Source organism: Homo sapiens, chromosome 7 (genome assembly GCF_000001405.40).
Source record: "Homo sapiens chromosome 7, GRCh38.p14 Primary Assembly".
Taxonomy (NCBI): Eukaryota; Metazoa; Chordata; class Mammalia; order Primates; family Hominidae; genus Homo; species Homo sapiens.
Genome location: NC_000007.14, coordinates 137,494,129 through 137,509,738, shown reverse-complemented (window position 1 = coordinate 137,509,738; position 15,610 = coordinate 137,494,129). Strand labels below are relative to the sequence as shown.

The 15,610-nt window shown below is 37.4% G+C and overlaps 1 protein-coding gene across 8 annotated transcripts in view; it reads left to right on the top strand.

Moving 5' to 3' along the window:
• Positions 1-15,610, top strand: part of DGKI (diacylglycerol kinase iota) — a 465,938-nt gene that overhangs the window by 337,236 nt on the left and 113,092 nt on the right. The gene's annotated exons all lie outside the window — the stretch shown is intronic.

Below are 15,610 nucleotides of genomic sequence, written 5' to 3'. Positions count from 1 at the left end.
GTCTATAACACATTCTAACTCAGAAACCATTTTCTTGTATTTTAGGTGTTATCAAACTGCCTTTGAGGCATTGACAAGTGGTCTTTGTCCTCCATCATCACAGTTTTCACTAATTTTACATTATTTTCACAGTCTCTCTGCTGCCGCCTTCTTTGCTCTTTTTTGCTCTCTCCAGCTCAGCAGGCCACAAGTCCATGGTGTTAGGTAAGTGTATCAGAAGGTTGTAACCCCCACAGCTATGCAAAACGACTTCACTGTCACTCTTGCTCCTTTTCCCTCTTCCCATCCAACTGGCCACAGAGGAGTTGCTTCCTTGGACTTCGTATCTCTCTCATATGCCCTTCCCTTCTTGTCTTTCTGCCACTCCTCTATTCCAGACCTCACCATTGCTCAGCTCATTGACTGTATTCGCTTCCTCACTCATCCTCCAGTCACTCACCTAATTTTTCATCAATTTGTCTTCCGTATTACTCCCAATGATTTTTCTAACATTTTGTCCAAGAAAAAGGTGGGAGATTTTTAGGCACTGAGATGAGCGAGTGGAAAAGTACTGGAGGATGTTGTGGGGAGGTTGGTCAATTGCCAACCCATTGTATCTGATTATTGTCATCCATCAAGTAAGAATTGTAGTTTTTTGATAACCTTGGCACATTTGAAACTAACAGAATAAAAGGAAAGATTCCACTTGTGTTTACATCCTCCCTTAGGAATTTGTTTCTTTTCTCTACTCCCCTGCCTCTCCTCCTTGAGTTCCTTATTTCCACCATCCTTTTGACTTCCTGAGTAATGTGAATGCTATGAGTAACAAAATAGGTACTGATAATTGTTCTATGTCAGGATGATCTCATCAGCAAAGTATCTGTCCATAGCAAACTCAGAACAGTTTCTTTTTCTTTTCCCTTTCTCTTGATTTTTCTGTAACTAGGCATCTGTGTTTGCTAATTGTCTCTTATTACCAATAATTATTTAGGCTCTTACCCACCCACAGAGCCTGAGAGAGAGGGGCTCTGTCTTTCATGATGTTTACATTTCAAAAAATGACTTCTAGCTCCTGGAGAAAGACATTCCTGGGTTGTAAAATTTGGCATGAGTCTGGGAGCAGATTTACATACATCTCAAAGGGGCAGAGAAAGGATTTACAATGGAAAGTTTGCTAAAGTAAATGCTCTAAGAAACAAGTGTTCAGAGCCATATAATCAAGAAGAAACCTGTCGGCCGGGCATGGTGGCTCAAGCCTGTAATCCCAGCACTTTGGGAGGCCGAGGTGGACAGATCACGAGGTCAGGAGATCAAGACCATCCTGGCTAACACGGTGAAACCCTGTCTCTACTAAAAATACAAAAAATTAGCTGGACATGGTGGTGGGTGCCTGTAGTCCCAGCTACGCAGGAGGCTGAGGCAGGAGAAAGGAGTAACCGGGAAGGCAGAGCTTGCAGTGAGCCAAGATTGTGCCACTGCACTCCAGCCTGGGCAACAGAGTGAGACTCCGTCTCAAAAAAAAAAAAAAAAAAAAAAAAAAGAAACCTGTCTAAAGTTCCATCATGCTAAGGGAAACATGAAGGCTGTTTTGGTCAGTATACATCTGGAACCTTCACCTTCTGTTGGAAACCTATTAGTATCTACCCATCCTTTTGAGAATAAAGTCTCAACTTCTTAGTATAAAAATCAAACCTCTGGTCTTAGCCTCACCCTACTCTACTCTGTACCTACCTACCTTCCTAATTCCTGAACATTTCCTTTTCTTCTTTTCATGCTGTGGTTCCTTAGAGCCTAAGGGTGGTCTGAGATAATTTCCTTTTGTCTCAAAAACTCTTGTTCCTTTTGTCAAACCACCTTATTTTCTTCACAGCTCCTCGTGGAAGAGTGTCTGGTCTTGGGGAATGTGTAGCCCTTCTGGATTCTAAACACGTGGAGTACATGTCTATCCAATTCCTGCCACAAAGATATCATCAGTAGGATGTTTTCATGTACTCCCCTCCTCCTCCAATTCTGTAAACTCCTTGAGGGCAGGTACCATGTCTTACTCAGCCTTCTGTGACCAACTGCTGACACTAGAGTTGTCCCCAGCACCAGAAAGTCCTTAAAACCCGTTTGCTAAAATGATTAAGTGAATGACTTATAGACGTGAAAAATATTGTGGCATAATTCTTTGTATATGCAATATATATTTACCAAATTAATGAAGATAGAAACCATGAGTTGCTCTTCAAGATTATCAATGCCATAAGCATTTAAGAGGATTTTTTTTAAGTGAGTTGCATGTTCCTTATGTTGCCCACTTAGGTAGTATACTATCATGATAAAAGCAGAATTGGATCTGTACTTGGAAACCCAAATTTCTAGAGAACCTGTTAGTTTCTGGAAAGCACTCAGAAATCTTATCCTTGAATAGAATCCAATGAAAACTACATAATTTACTTTTATCTTGTGGATGACATTTTTAATGGACTATAGACAGGACCTGGTTTAGCTCAAGCTAGGGAATCCAAACTCTATAATTACTTTTAATCGTAAGGACTAGGAGTTGTGAAACTGCTGACAGGTCCCAGACATGGCATGGCAAGGTATAAAGTTCTTGGGATGTTATGTTTCCTTTTGAATGCTAATATGCCCATTCGTTGCTCCCCATTGGTTCCAGGTGAGCAGTGGGAAATTAATGATGACCAGGTGGTTGTAAAATGGACCTGTGACCCACAGCAGGGAAAAACTGGATTGAAATACCATATTGCAAACTGATTCTATCTAATTCTTATCAGCCATCAAGTAAGAATTGTAGTTCCATGATAACCTTGGCACATTTGGAACTAATGAGGTAAAAAGAAAGATCCCACTTGTCTTTACATCCTCCCATATTATATTTCCTATAGACAAAGTATCTGTCTGTAGAAAACTCAGAACAGTTTCTTTTTCTTTTCTTTTTCTCTTGATTTTTCTGTTTCTTTTTAACTAAGACTATTTTTCAGAGCAGTTTTAAGTTTACAGAAAAAGTAAGTAGAAAGTACAGAGAATTCCATATATCCTCTCAACCCTCCCCTACCGCAACCTATCCACACACAGTTCTCCCCTTTATTAACATTTTGCATTAATGTGGTTCATTTGTTACTATTGATGAGCCAATACTGATACGTTATTATTGCCTGAATCCCATAGTGTACGTTAGGATTCACTCTTTTGCCATATAATTCTATGGGCTTTCACAAATGTGTAATGACATGCAGTCATTATTGTATTGTACAGAATATTTCACAAGGAATACCTTGTGTTATGTCTTTTCATTTCTCCCTTCCTCTCCCAAGCCCTTGGCAACCACTGATTATTTTATTGTCAGCATAGTTTTTGCCCTTTCCAGAATTTCACATAATTGGAATTATACATCATGTAGCCTTTCAAATTGCCATCTTTCACTTAGCAATCTTCATTTAAAATACCCCTATGTCTTGTCTTTGCTTTATAGCTCGTTTCTTTTTATTGTTGAATAATACTCCGTTGTCTGGGCATACCACAATTTATCTGTTCACCTACCAAAGGACATATTAGTTGCTTACAAGTTTTGGCAATTATGAATAAAGGTGCTATAAACATCCCTGTGCAGATATTTATGTGGACATAATTTTCAACTCCATTGGGTAAATACCAAGGAGCTGATGCTAGATTGCATGGTAAGAGTATATTTAGTTTTGTGAGAAACTGCCAAGCTGTCTTTCAACGTGGCTGTGCTGTTTTCTATTTCCACCAGCAATGAATGAATGTTCCTATTGCTCCACATCCCCACCAGCATTTGGTGGTGGTGGTTTTTTTTAATTTTAGCCATTCTATTAGGTGTGTAGTGGTATCTTTGTTGTTTAATTTGCAATTCTCTGATGACAGAAAATGTTGAGCATCTTTTGATGACTGTATTTGCTGCCTATATTTTCTTTTTGTCAGATTTTGTTTAGATCTTTTGCCCAGTTTTTTAATTGGCTCTCTTATTGTTGGGTTTTAAGAATTCTATGTATTTTTTGGGTACCAGTCTTTTTTTTTTTTTTTTGCATCTCTTATGGATTCTTTGTTGTAGGCTCCTAGATGTGGATTGCAGAGTTACAGAACATTTAGGAATACTAGTACCTACTGTCAAAGTGCACAAATTTACACTCTGAAACAATTGATTTCATGGCACCCTTGCCAGCATTGAACATTATTTTTTAATCTTATTTTAAAAGAAGTGAATATTCTAATTTGCTTTTATTTACTAAGCTTTCCCCCTGTATTCACTCACAATTTGTATCTAGGGTAATTCTCCTGTTTCAAGACAGAATGAATTAGATATGACATGAACCAACTACAACAGCATAAATGAGATGGTTTCTCTGAGTATTTTCCATTGCTCAGATCTGATTATTGATCTGGTGAGCCTTGCTGAGACAAAGGTTGAGCTTCTCAATGCACGTTCTCTCCAAGAGGTAGGAGAGTATCATAAGGAGAAGGCATCATTATGTCCATGTGGGACAACCAGCTTCCTTCTGTCCTGTGGCCTCAGTCTTTTCTTTTCTTTTCTTTTTTCAGAAATTTGTGCAAAATTTAAGATCAGTTTTCTTTTTGTTTTTTCTTCTATCCCTCCCCCATCCCCCCACCCCCAGAAAGGCCCCAGTGTGGGATGTTCCCCCCCTTTGTCTATGTGTTCTCAATGTTCAGCTCCCACCTATGAGTGAGAACATGCGGTGTTTGGTTTTCTGTCCTTGTGATAGTTTGCTTAGAATGATGGGATACCAGTCTTTTATCAGATACGTGTTTTGCAAAGATTTTCACCCAGTCTGTGGCTAATTTTTCATTTTCTTAACACTCTCTTTTCACAGAGTGGAAGTTTTGATTTTAACGAAGTCTGACTTAACCATTTTTTTCTTTCATGGATCATGCTTTTGGTGTTGTATCTAAAATGTCATTGCCATACCAAGCTTATCTAGCTTTTCTCCTATGTTATTTCTATGTTATTTTCTAGGGAATGGGTTTTTTTTAAAAGGCTATTGGTTTCTTAATACTATGCATAGGTTGATTAAATGATACCAAGTACTTGCATAAACTCTATTGATTATGTTAGTAAATCTAAAATTGATGCTTAAGGAAATGTCAAGTTTTTAAAATGTGTATATACATAGTGTTAACAAGCTTATTCTAAGATGACTATATTTTGATGGTTTACCATATTGTTCAATACCTTTCCTATTTTCTGACTTTTTAATTCTGTGATTATATTTATTGTTCTTTTCAGAAGGTGATAACCTTTTTTAAAAAGCCTCCACAATTCATATATATATTTAAAACTTAAAGCCCAGTCTTTGCAAACACAGTGGTTTCTGAGAAGCTTTTCTCTAAGGTATCACACGTTCTTATAATGATCCTATTGAAGATAGTTTGTTTGTGCTTTGAATAGGTCAATGGCTTCATATGGCTGCAATTCTATTTTAACAGTAATTGCACTGTAACAGCAATGTCACATAATTAAATCTTTTTAAAAAAATGCTGAGCTCTCAGCTCTTTATTTCCACAATGACATCTTGTTGAACACATCATGGTACCTTGCAGAGAACGAATTAACTGCTGTGAGTTTTCTCCCTTTTTATAAATCCCATTATCACTTTCACATGGACTTAGTGTGAAAGGTGGCTCTTTCTGCTTTGGCTCTTAGGGCCTTGGCTTGTGTCATCAAGCAGGCAGCTGTGATTCCCCTCATCTCCTTGTAGGTTTGGTTGATTCTTTTATTTACATGCTTTAGTTTAGACTCTAGAGACTTTGGCACAACACATTATCTGCTATAAAATGTTCTCACATATAGTCTGCTGAAATTGGTTTGGGAATTTATGAAAGGGCAGTACATGTTGATAATAGAATTAAGGGTAAAAATGATGAATTAAATAAGGCTTAGAGGAGTGAATATAGGATGGTTTTTATAGGTAGGACTTAATCTTCACAGTAACCCAGTGGGGTAGATAATATGATCTTTCTCAGTACATTGGGCCTTTACATACTATATTGTAAAAGAACCAAGGGGAAGCTAAGCTCATTGAGCAATAAAAATAATCAAAAGTATCTGGAATCGTAATTTTCCTGAATGTAGTTATTGACCAAGGATAATTAAACATTAAAATGAATGGTATGAGAATATGTACTATAGCAAAACTACCAAATTGATAATATCACAGGCTAGCCAGACTGAAAACTAATACTGTTAAGTAAACACAACATCAAAAATCCTTGGGAAACACCTTTGAATAGCTTGTGCCTCTGATGTCATGAACTTTTCACACCTCAAGTGAGAACGTGGGTTTTGTTTTATGTTTGGTTTGTGTTAACTGTCATTGAGGTCTTCAGTTCAGTATTGGAAATTCTGTTGTAAGAATTTTAATAGCAAAACAAGTCACAGTGATTTTCTGTAATAATCTTGATTAAATTCTAGGTACTCTTGTTATCTCTATTGTCCCAATAATAATTAGCATCTGCTCACAATTGTATAGTTGCATTTCTTTGTAAAGTAAGCAATACTTACTTTAATTCTGTGACCCCTAAATTACAGACAAGGTTATATAGCAAGGCTGTCAGCAGTTTTGATAAGCTTGAGTCATGGTCTATAAGTTCACCTGAATCTGGCCTATCGGAAAAGGAGAGGAATGGGGAGCCTTTAAAAATGACCACATTTCTGCCAAGTATGTTCACGAGAATGTGTCTGACTTCACTGGTAGTTTCTGAGTCTGATGGTTCTGGTCCTTTGTCCAGGCCTGGAGATGTTTCCTCCCTGTTTACAGCCTTTCCCTAGTGCTTGTGAAGCTCTACATATGGGACTCGTGAGTCCATCCTCAGCTGCTGGTCAGCCTGTCACTGGTTTGTGCCTTCACTTCTCTGAGCTCAGTGTTGAAAACTAGTAGAAACTCCATCCTTATGTGCAGCCCAAGTTCAATGGAAAGTAGGAATAGTTCAGAACAGGGGCTCTTGAGTAAGAGAAACCTAGGATGAAAGCTGGTGTTCCGTTTTAGTGGTTGTAATATTTAGGGCATGTTATCTATCTGAGACTCATTTTCCTCATTTTAAAAATAGAAATAATGACATCCATCTCTCAGGATTGTGGCAAAGATTAAATAACACAGTAAAACTGGTATATTATTTATGTGAACGTAGGTTATTTTTTCTCCTTCCTCCTTGCCCTCCCTTCCCCTTTCTCCTCCTCTCCTTCCTTGTTCTTCCTCCTCCTCCATCCTCCTCTCTTTTTCCTCCATTTTCTCTTCCTTCTCCTCCTTTTTCATATCATGTAATCAGTATTATCATTTTCATGTTCATCCATATTTGTTCCACCCCTCCCTAAATTTATCATATGACACAATGCTATGCAACATGACACACAATTATGTATCTTTAATATCACATGGATTTGATCATACTCCCAGATCGCAGGCAATGGAAGTCTGTTCTGGCTTATCTGGCTTTTCCAGAAGTGTGGAGTATGATTCACTCACGTAAGAAAATAAATTACTTCAGCTACTCTGATCCTTCTCTCAATGCTACTTCCTTGAACCCCCAGGCTTAGGCCCTGTATTAGTCCGTTTTCACACTGCTGTCAAAGACATACCTGAGACTGGGGAATTTACAAAGGAAAGAGGTTTAATGGAGAACCAACAGTTCCACATGGCTGGAAAGCCTCACAATCATGGGGGAAGGCAAGGGGGAGCAAGTCACATCTTATGTGAATGGCGACAGGCTAAGAGAGGGCTTGTGCAGGCAAACTCCCATTTTTAAAACCATCAGATCTTGTGAGACCCATTCACTATCATGAGAACAGCATGGGAAAGACCTGCCCCCATGATTCATTCATCTCCCACCAGGTCCCTCCCACAACATGTGGGAATTATGGGAGCTACAAGATGAGATTTGGGTGGGGTCACAGAGCCAAACCATATCAGGCTCCAAGCAGCTGTGCCCAGGAAAAGTGATCCTAGCTCAATTCAGCATCTGGGAGCTCATGTAGTTGGCATGTGTGTTAACCTCAGAGTTCCATCTGTTGTGAATTTTCATTGGCCTCTACGCAATTCAGCACAAAGATGCTGTGCTAAAGGTTGTGCCAGAATGAAATTTGCTTTAGACATCCCTGGGTAGGGCAGTTTAACCTCAGAGTCGGTCTACAAGGGTCTTTTGGCTTTCTTCAACAAATAATTCACTTGAGGAAATTATTTGACTGTCTTTTGCATCATACCAACTGAATCAAGTTTTCTTAAAACTCTACACTGTTGATGGGAATGTAAATTAGTATGGCCACCATGGACAACATAATGGAGCCTCCTCAAAAAAACTAAAGATAGATTAACCATATGATCCAGGAGTCCCACTGCTGGGTATGTGTAGGTACAAAAGAAAGGAATCAGTATATGGAAGAGATATTTGAATGCCTGAGTTTATTACAGCAGTATTCATAATAGTCAAGATGCAGAAGCAACCTAAGTGTCTATCAATGGATGAATGGATAAAGACAATGTGGTATATATACACAATAGATTATTGTTATGCCATAAAAAGAATAAAATTCTGTCGTTTGCAGCAACATGGATGGAACTGGAGGACAGGATGTTAAGTGAAATAATCCAGACACAGAAAGACAAATAGGGCATATTCTGTCTCATATCTAGGGGCTAAAAAAGTCAGTCTCCTGAAGGTAGAGAGTAGAATAGTGATTACCAGAGACTTGGAAGCGTAGGGGTAAGGGGAAGTGAAGAGAGTTTGGTCAATGGGTGTGCAAATACAGGTAGATAGAATAAATAACCTTTATGGTTCTATAGCACAGGTGATAGTAGTTAATAATAATTTATTGTATATTTCAAAATACTAGGAAGAGAAGATTGAGACTGCTTCTAACATAAAGAAGTGATAAATGCTTGAGGTGATAGATTGCTTAATTACCCTGGTTTGATCATTATACATTGTATACACATATCAAAATATCACATGTACCCCATAAACGTGTAAAATTATTATGTATCAATAAAAAATTAACTTAAGAAACAACTCTAGGCACCTTTCATTGTAACCTTTAACAACATTGGTTTATAAAGCTTTGGGCAATTCAGTCTCATATATAGGGTCCCTGAGCTTGATTTATTATCTGGCTGTTTACAATTTGTGGTGAAATCTATGTTTTATAAATTATATTTTGTTATGTTTTATCTTGGTGTATATAGACTTTAAAAGTTTTTTATGAATATAAGAGTATAATTGTGGATTGGTTGCTAGAAGATTTTGAATTTGCTGAGGTTGAATAGTTTTCATTTATGCATTATTTGGCATAAATTTGCATAATAAGTTCAAGTAGTCTAACTTCAAGTATAGAAGACAAAATTAATTAGTGTGACCTGTGGGCATTTTACTTCAAACGTAAAATCCAGAGCATGCACACGTAAAATGTATAATGGATTTCTCAACCAATTAATTTAATCACAGTCTGGATTATGAGACATTTAAACCAACAGGAAATAGGGAAAGAGGGTTAATGGAGGTCAGGTTGAAGCCATAGAAGGGTGCTAGGGCAGGACTTATATTTTGGCTGGAAAGGGGTAATTTGTAGTATAATTTTCTCAGGGCTTAATATCACCAGTAAATTCCACAGTGTAGTTCCTATTACCTGAATTTGTCAAAGCTTCCTCGTTGTTTTAGTCTGCTCTGGCTGCCGTAACAAAATACTATACATTGGATGGCTTAAATAACAGACATTTATTTCTAAAAGATCTGGAGGCAGGAAGTCCAAGCTCAGGATGCCGGCATGGTTGGGTCTGGTGTGGGCTCTCTTTCTTGCTTACAGACGGCTGCCTTCTTGCTATATCCTCAAATTTGTGTGTGTTAGTCCAGGTTCTCTAGAGAAATAGAACCAACTGGATATGTAGATATGTAACAGGACATCTATTATGGGAATTGGCTCATGCAATTATAGTGGCCAAGAAGTCCCACAGGATACCATCTGAAAGTTGGAGGACCAGGAAAGCCAGTGGTGTAAATCAGTGCAAGCCCAAAGACCTGAGAACCAGGGGAGCTGGTGGTATATCTTCCAGTCTGAGAGCCTGATAACTGGAGTGCAGGAGTGGGTATCACTGGTGTAAGTCCTGGAAAGAGAACCAGGAGCCATGATGTCAAAGGGCAGGAGAAGATGGATGTCCAAACTCAAGAAGAAAGAATTCACTTTTATTCCACCTTTTTGTTCTATCCAGGCCCCAAGCAGATTGGATGACACGATGACACTTGCCCACATTGACAAGGGTGGGTCTTCTTTACTCACTCCACTGATACAAATGCTAATCTCTTCTGGAAACACTCTCACAGACACAGCCAGAAATTGTGTTTTACCAGCTATCTGAGTGTCCCTTAGCCAAGTCAAGTTGACACATAAAATTAATCATCACAGTGCGTATATACAATACAGAGGTTTAAATATTAGTAGTAAAATAGGCACCGGTGTACCTGCCACTTAGACTAAGAAATAGAACAAGTACCACCCCTCACTGTTCTACTGGGATAACTACTTTACTCGTTGTATTTGCCATTCTCTTGATAGGTATATATTTACCACCAACGTATGCATCCCTAAACCAGATATTGAGTGGTTTTGAAAAAACTAAGTAGCAGATCTAAATCCCCCTGTGTAAAGAAAAGGTGATGCTTTCACTTTTAGCTTAAGTTTCCCAAGAAAGCTGAAAAGAGTCTCTAGTTCATTGTTGAGCTTCAGTTTTTCTGAGAGTGCACACGGACTCATTCTAAGAGAACTTAGTGGGCAAGGTAATGACTGACTCCTGGGCAGTCCTTGGCAGGTGTTAAGTTGAGTTCTAGCTATCAAATGAATATATTATCACAGGGAATAGGCTTCTTTGAATTTTTCTGCTTCACTATGATCCAACTCTTGCTGTCAGGAATAGGTTCAGGCAGAGCATGTCAGGGGGTAATATAGTGTCAATATATTTTATATAACACTCATTCGTATTGCAAATTCAACTTTATTGGGGCAGATAACCCAGTAGCTTCTTGACAGATCATGGGTCCTTCATTCAACTCTTGCACTTGTTTGATTGTTTGGGTTATCTGTAAAAGTCTTAGAACTTTGAAGGTCTTGTTTCATTGTCTTCCTTACTGTATGGTTGCCTTTGAGAAGTTCAAAAACATTCCAAATTTTAATCCTTTGTATATAATCTGGTTTTTCCTTTCTATAAGCTTGTAGATTCTTCCTTTTGTCCCCAGTACTCTTCAATTTCAAAACAAGATGATGTTATATTGTTCTGTAGTTATTGTGCTTGGCATTTGATGAATCATTTCAGTTTGGAAACTAATGTTTTAGGAAATATTCTTCATTTTGTTTTTTATATTTATTCTCTATTTTCTTTTGTTTTTTGAGACTCGTATTATGGGGATGTTTTTTGAAACTCCTCTTATTGGGACCTCCTGGACTAGGTTTCTAATTTTTTTAGTTTTTCTCTCCTACTTTCTATCTCTTTTTATTTTTGCTCTACTTTTTTAGAGATTTTCTCAACTTTATCTTTTAACTTTTCTAATGAGGTCTCTATTTATTTTATCAAATTTTTATTTTCAAAGGGTTTTGTACTCTTTTATTCTCTGAATGAGGTTCCTCTTTGTTTTCCTTCATATTCTTTGTATCATTTAATATTATAATTTTTCCATTTCTTGGAAATTTCCATTCCATTTTCTCTCAACTCCCTGAGGATATTAAAGATATCATGTTTAAAGTGTTTTTCTTTGCGCAAGTTCATTTTCTATTTTTAAAAAAACTTTTAGATTCAGGGGTATATGTGCAGGTTTATTATACAGGTAAATTTTGTGTCACAGGTGTTTAGTGTGCAGATTATTTCACCACCTAAGTAGTAAGCATAGTACCAGATAGGCAATTTTTTGATTGTCACGTTCCTTCTCTCTACCATCAAGGAGGCCCTGGTGTCTAGTGTTCCCTTCTTTGTGTCCATGGGTACACAAAGGTGGGGAATATTTGTGTCCTACTTATAAGTGAGAATATGTGATACTTATTAAATCGATTTCTGTTCCTGAATTAGTTCGCTGAGGGTAATGGCCTCCAGCTCCATCCATGTTGCTGCAAAGGACATGATCGCATTTTTTTTTAATGGCTATGTAGTATTGCATGGTGTATATGTCCCACATTTTCTTTATCCTCTCTACCCTTGATGGGCATTTAGATTGATTCCATGTCTTTGCTATTGTGACTAGTGCTACAGTGAACATACACGTGCATGTGTCTTTATGTTAGAGTGATTTATGTTCCTTTAGGTATATACCCAATAGTGAGATTGCTGGGTCAAGTGCTAATTCTGTTTGAGTTCTTAGAGTAATTGCCAAACTGCTTTCCACAATGGCTGCAATAATTTACATTCCCATTAGCAGTGTATAAGCACTCCGTTTTCTCCACAACCTCATCAGCATCTGTCATGTTTTGACTTTTTAATAATAGCGATTTGACTGGTGTGAGATGGCATCTCATTGTGGTTTTGACTTGCATTTCTCTAATGATCAGTGATGTTGAACTTTTTTTTCTATGATTGATTGCCGGATATATGTCTTCTTTTGAAATATGTCTGTTCATGTCTTTTGCCCACTTTTTTTTTTTTTGTAAATTTGTTTAAGTTCTTTATAGGTGCTGGATATTACACGTTTGTCAGATGCATTATTTGCAAATATTTTCTTCCATTCTGTAGGTTGTCTGTTTATTCTGTTGATAGTTTCTCTTGCTGTGCAGAAGCTCTTCAGTTTAATTAGGTCTTATTTGTCAGTTTTTGTTGTTTTTGTTGTTGTTGCAATGGCATTTGGTATCTTTGTCATGAAAACTTTGCCAAGTCTTATGTCCAGAATGATATTTCCTAGGTTATCATTCAGGGTTTTTATAGGTCTAGGTTTTACATTTAAGTCTTTAATCCATATTGAGATGATTTTTGTATATAGTATAAGGGAGGGGTCAGTTTCAGTCTCTGCATATGACTAGTCGGTTATTCCAGCACCATTTATTGAATAGGGAGTCCTCTTCCCATTACTTGTTTTTATCGACTTTGTTGAAGATCATATGGTTGTAGGTGTGTGGCACTATTTCTGCACTCTCTATTCTGTTTGATTTGTCTGTGTCTGTTTTTGTACCAGTATCATGTTGTTTTGGTTACTGTAGCCTTGTAGTATAGTTTTGAGTATTGTGATGCCTCCAGCTTTTTTTTTATTATTATTATTTCCTTGGCTATTTGGGATTTTTTTGGTTCATATGATTTTTAAAATAGTTTGTTCTAATTCTGTGAAGAATATCATTGGTAGTTTGATAGGAACAGCATTGAGTCTGTAAATTGCTTTGGGAGGTATGGCCATTTTGGTGATATTGATTCTTCCTATCCATGAGCATGGAATGTTTTTCTATTTGTTTGTGTCATCTCTAATTTCTTTGAGCAGTGTTTTGTAATTGTCATTATAGAGATCTTTCATCTCCCTGGTTAGCTGTATTCCTAGGTATTTTATTTTGTTTGTGGCTATTGTGAATAGGATTGTGTTTTTTATTTTGTTCTCAGTTTGGATGTTGTTGGTGTATAGGAATGCTACTGATTTTTTGTACATTTATTTTGTATCCTGAAACTTTACTGAAGTTGTTTATCAGAAAAAGGAGATTTTGGGCAGAGACTCTAGGGTTCTTTATGTATAGAATCTTATTGTCTGCAAACAGATAGTTTGATTTCCTCTCTTCCTATTTGGGTGCCTTTTATTTCTTTCTCTTGCCTGATTGCTGTGGCTACAACTTCCAGTACTATGTTGAATAGAAGTGGTGAGAGTGAGCATCTTTGTCTTGTTCTGATTTTTAAGGGGAATGCTTCCAGATTTTACCCATTCAGTATGATGTTGGCTTATGGGTTTATCATAGATGACTCTTATTATTTTGAAGCATGTTCCTTCAGTGCTTAGTTTGTTGAGGGTTTTTAACATGAAGGGATGTTGAATTTTGTCAAAAGCCCTTTCTACATCTGTTGAGATGATCATGTAGTTTTGGTCTTTAGTTCTATTTATATGATGTATCACATTTATTGATTCGTGTATGTTGAACCACCTTGCATCGCAGGGATAAAGCCTACTTGACCATGGTAGATTAGCTTTCTGATGTGTTGCTGGATTTGGTTTGCTAGTATTTTGCTGAGGATTTTTGCATTTATGTTAAAGAAGGATTTTTTTTTTTTTTTTTTTTTTTTTTGTCTCTGCCAGGTTTTGGTATCAGGATGGTGCTGGCCTCACCGAGTGAGTTAGGAATGAGCCTCTCCTCCTCAGAGTTTTCTTTCTTTTTTTTTTTTTGTTAAATAGTTTCAGTAGGAATCATACCAGCTCTTCCTTATACATCTGCTAGAATTTGGCTGTGAATTTGTCTAGCCCTGGGCTTTTTCTGGTTGGTAGGCTTTTTATTACTGATTCTGTTTTGGAACTCATTATTGGACTATTCAAGGACTTAATTTCTTCCCGGTTCAATCTTGGGAGGATGTGTATTTCCAGAAATTTACCAACTTTTTCCTGTTTTTCTAGCTTGTGTGCAGAGAGGTATTCATAGTAGTCTTTAAGGGTGTTTTATATTTCTGTGGGGTCAGAAGTGTCACTTCTGATTGTGTTTATTTGGATCTTCTCTCTGTTTTTCTACCATTATGTAATGTTGTTCTTTGTCTTTTTTGATCTGTGATGGTTTAAAGTCTATTTTGTCTGAAATTATGGTAGCAACCCCTGCTTTTTTCTGTTTTCTATCTGCTTGGTAGATGTTTTGTGTGTCATCGCATGTGACCTGGGTCTCTTGAAGACAGCATACCATTGGGTCTTGTGTCATTATCTAACTTGCCATTCTGTGCCTTTGAAATGGGGCATTTAACACATTTACATTCAAAGTTAGCATTAATATGTGTGGATTTGATCCTGTCATTGTGTTGTTAGCTCATTACTGTGCAGATTTGTTTGTGTGATTGCTTTATAGTATCACTGGTCTGGGTATTTAGGCATGTTTTTGTAGTGGCCAGTAATGACCTTTCCTTTCCATATTTAGCACTCCCTTCAGGACCTCTTATAAGGCGGGTCTGGTGGTAATGAATTCTCTTAGCATTTGCTTCTCTGAAAAGGATCTTATTTCTCCTTTGCTTTTGAAGTGTAGTTTGGCTAAATATAGAATTCTTGGTTTGAAATTCTTTTCTTTAAGAATGCTGAATATAGGCCCCTAATCTCTTCTGTCTTGTAGGGTTTCTGTTCTAAGGTCAGCTGTTAGCCTGATGGGGTTTCCTTTGTAGGTGACCTGCCCCTTCTTTCTAGCTTCCTTAAACTTTCTTCCTTTCATTTTTTCCTTGGAGAATCTGATGACTGTGTGTCTTGGTGATGATCTTCTTGTGTAATATTTCACAGGGTTTCTCTTCATTTCCTGAATTTGAACGTTGGCCTCTCTACCAAGGTTGGGGAAATTTTCATGGATGGTGTCCTGAAATGTGTTTTCCAAGTTGCTTGCTTTCTCTTTTTCTCTTTCAGGGATGCTGATAAGTCATAGACTTGGTCTCTTTAAATAATCCCATATTTCTCAGACATTTTGTTCATTCTTCTTCAT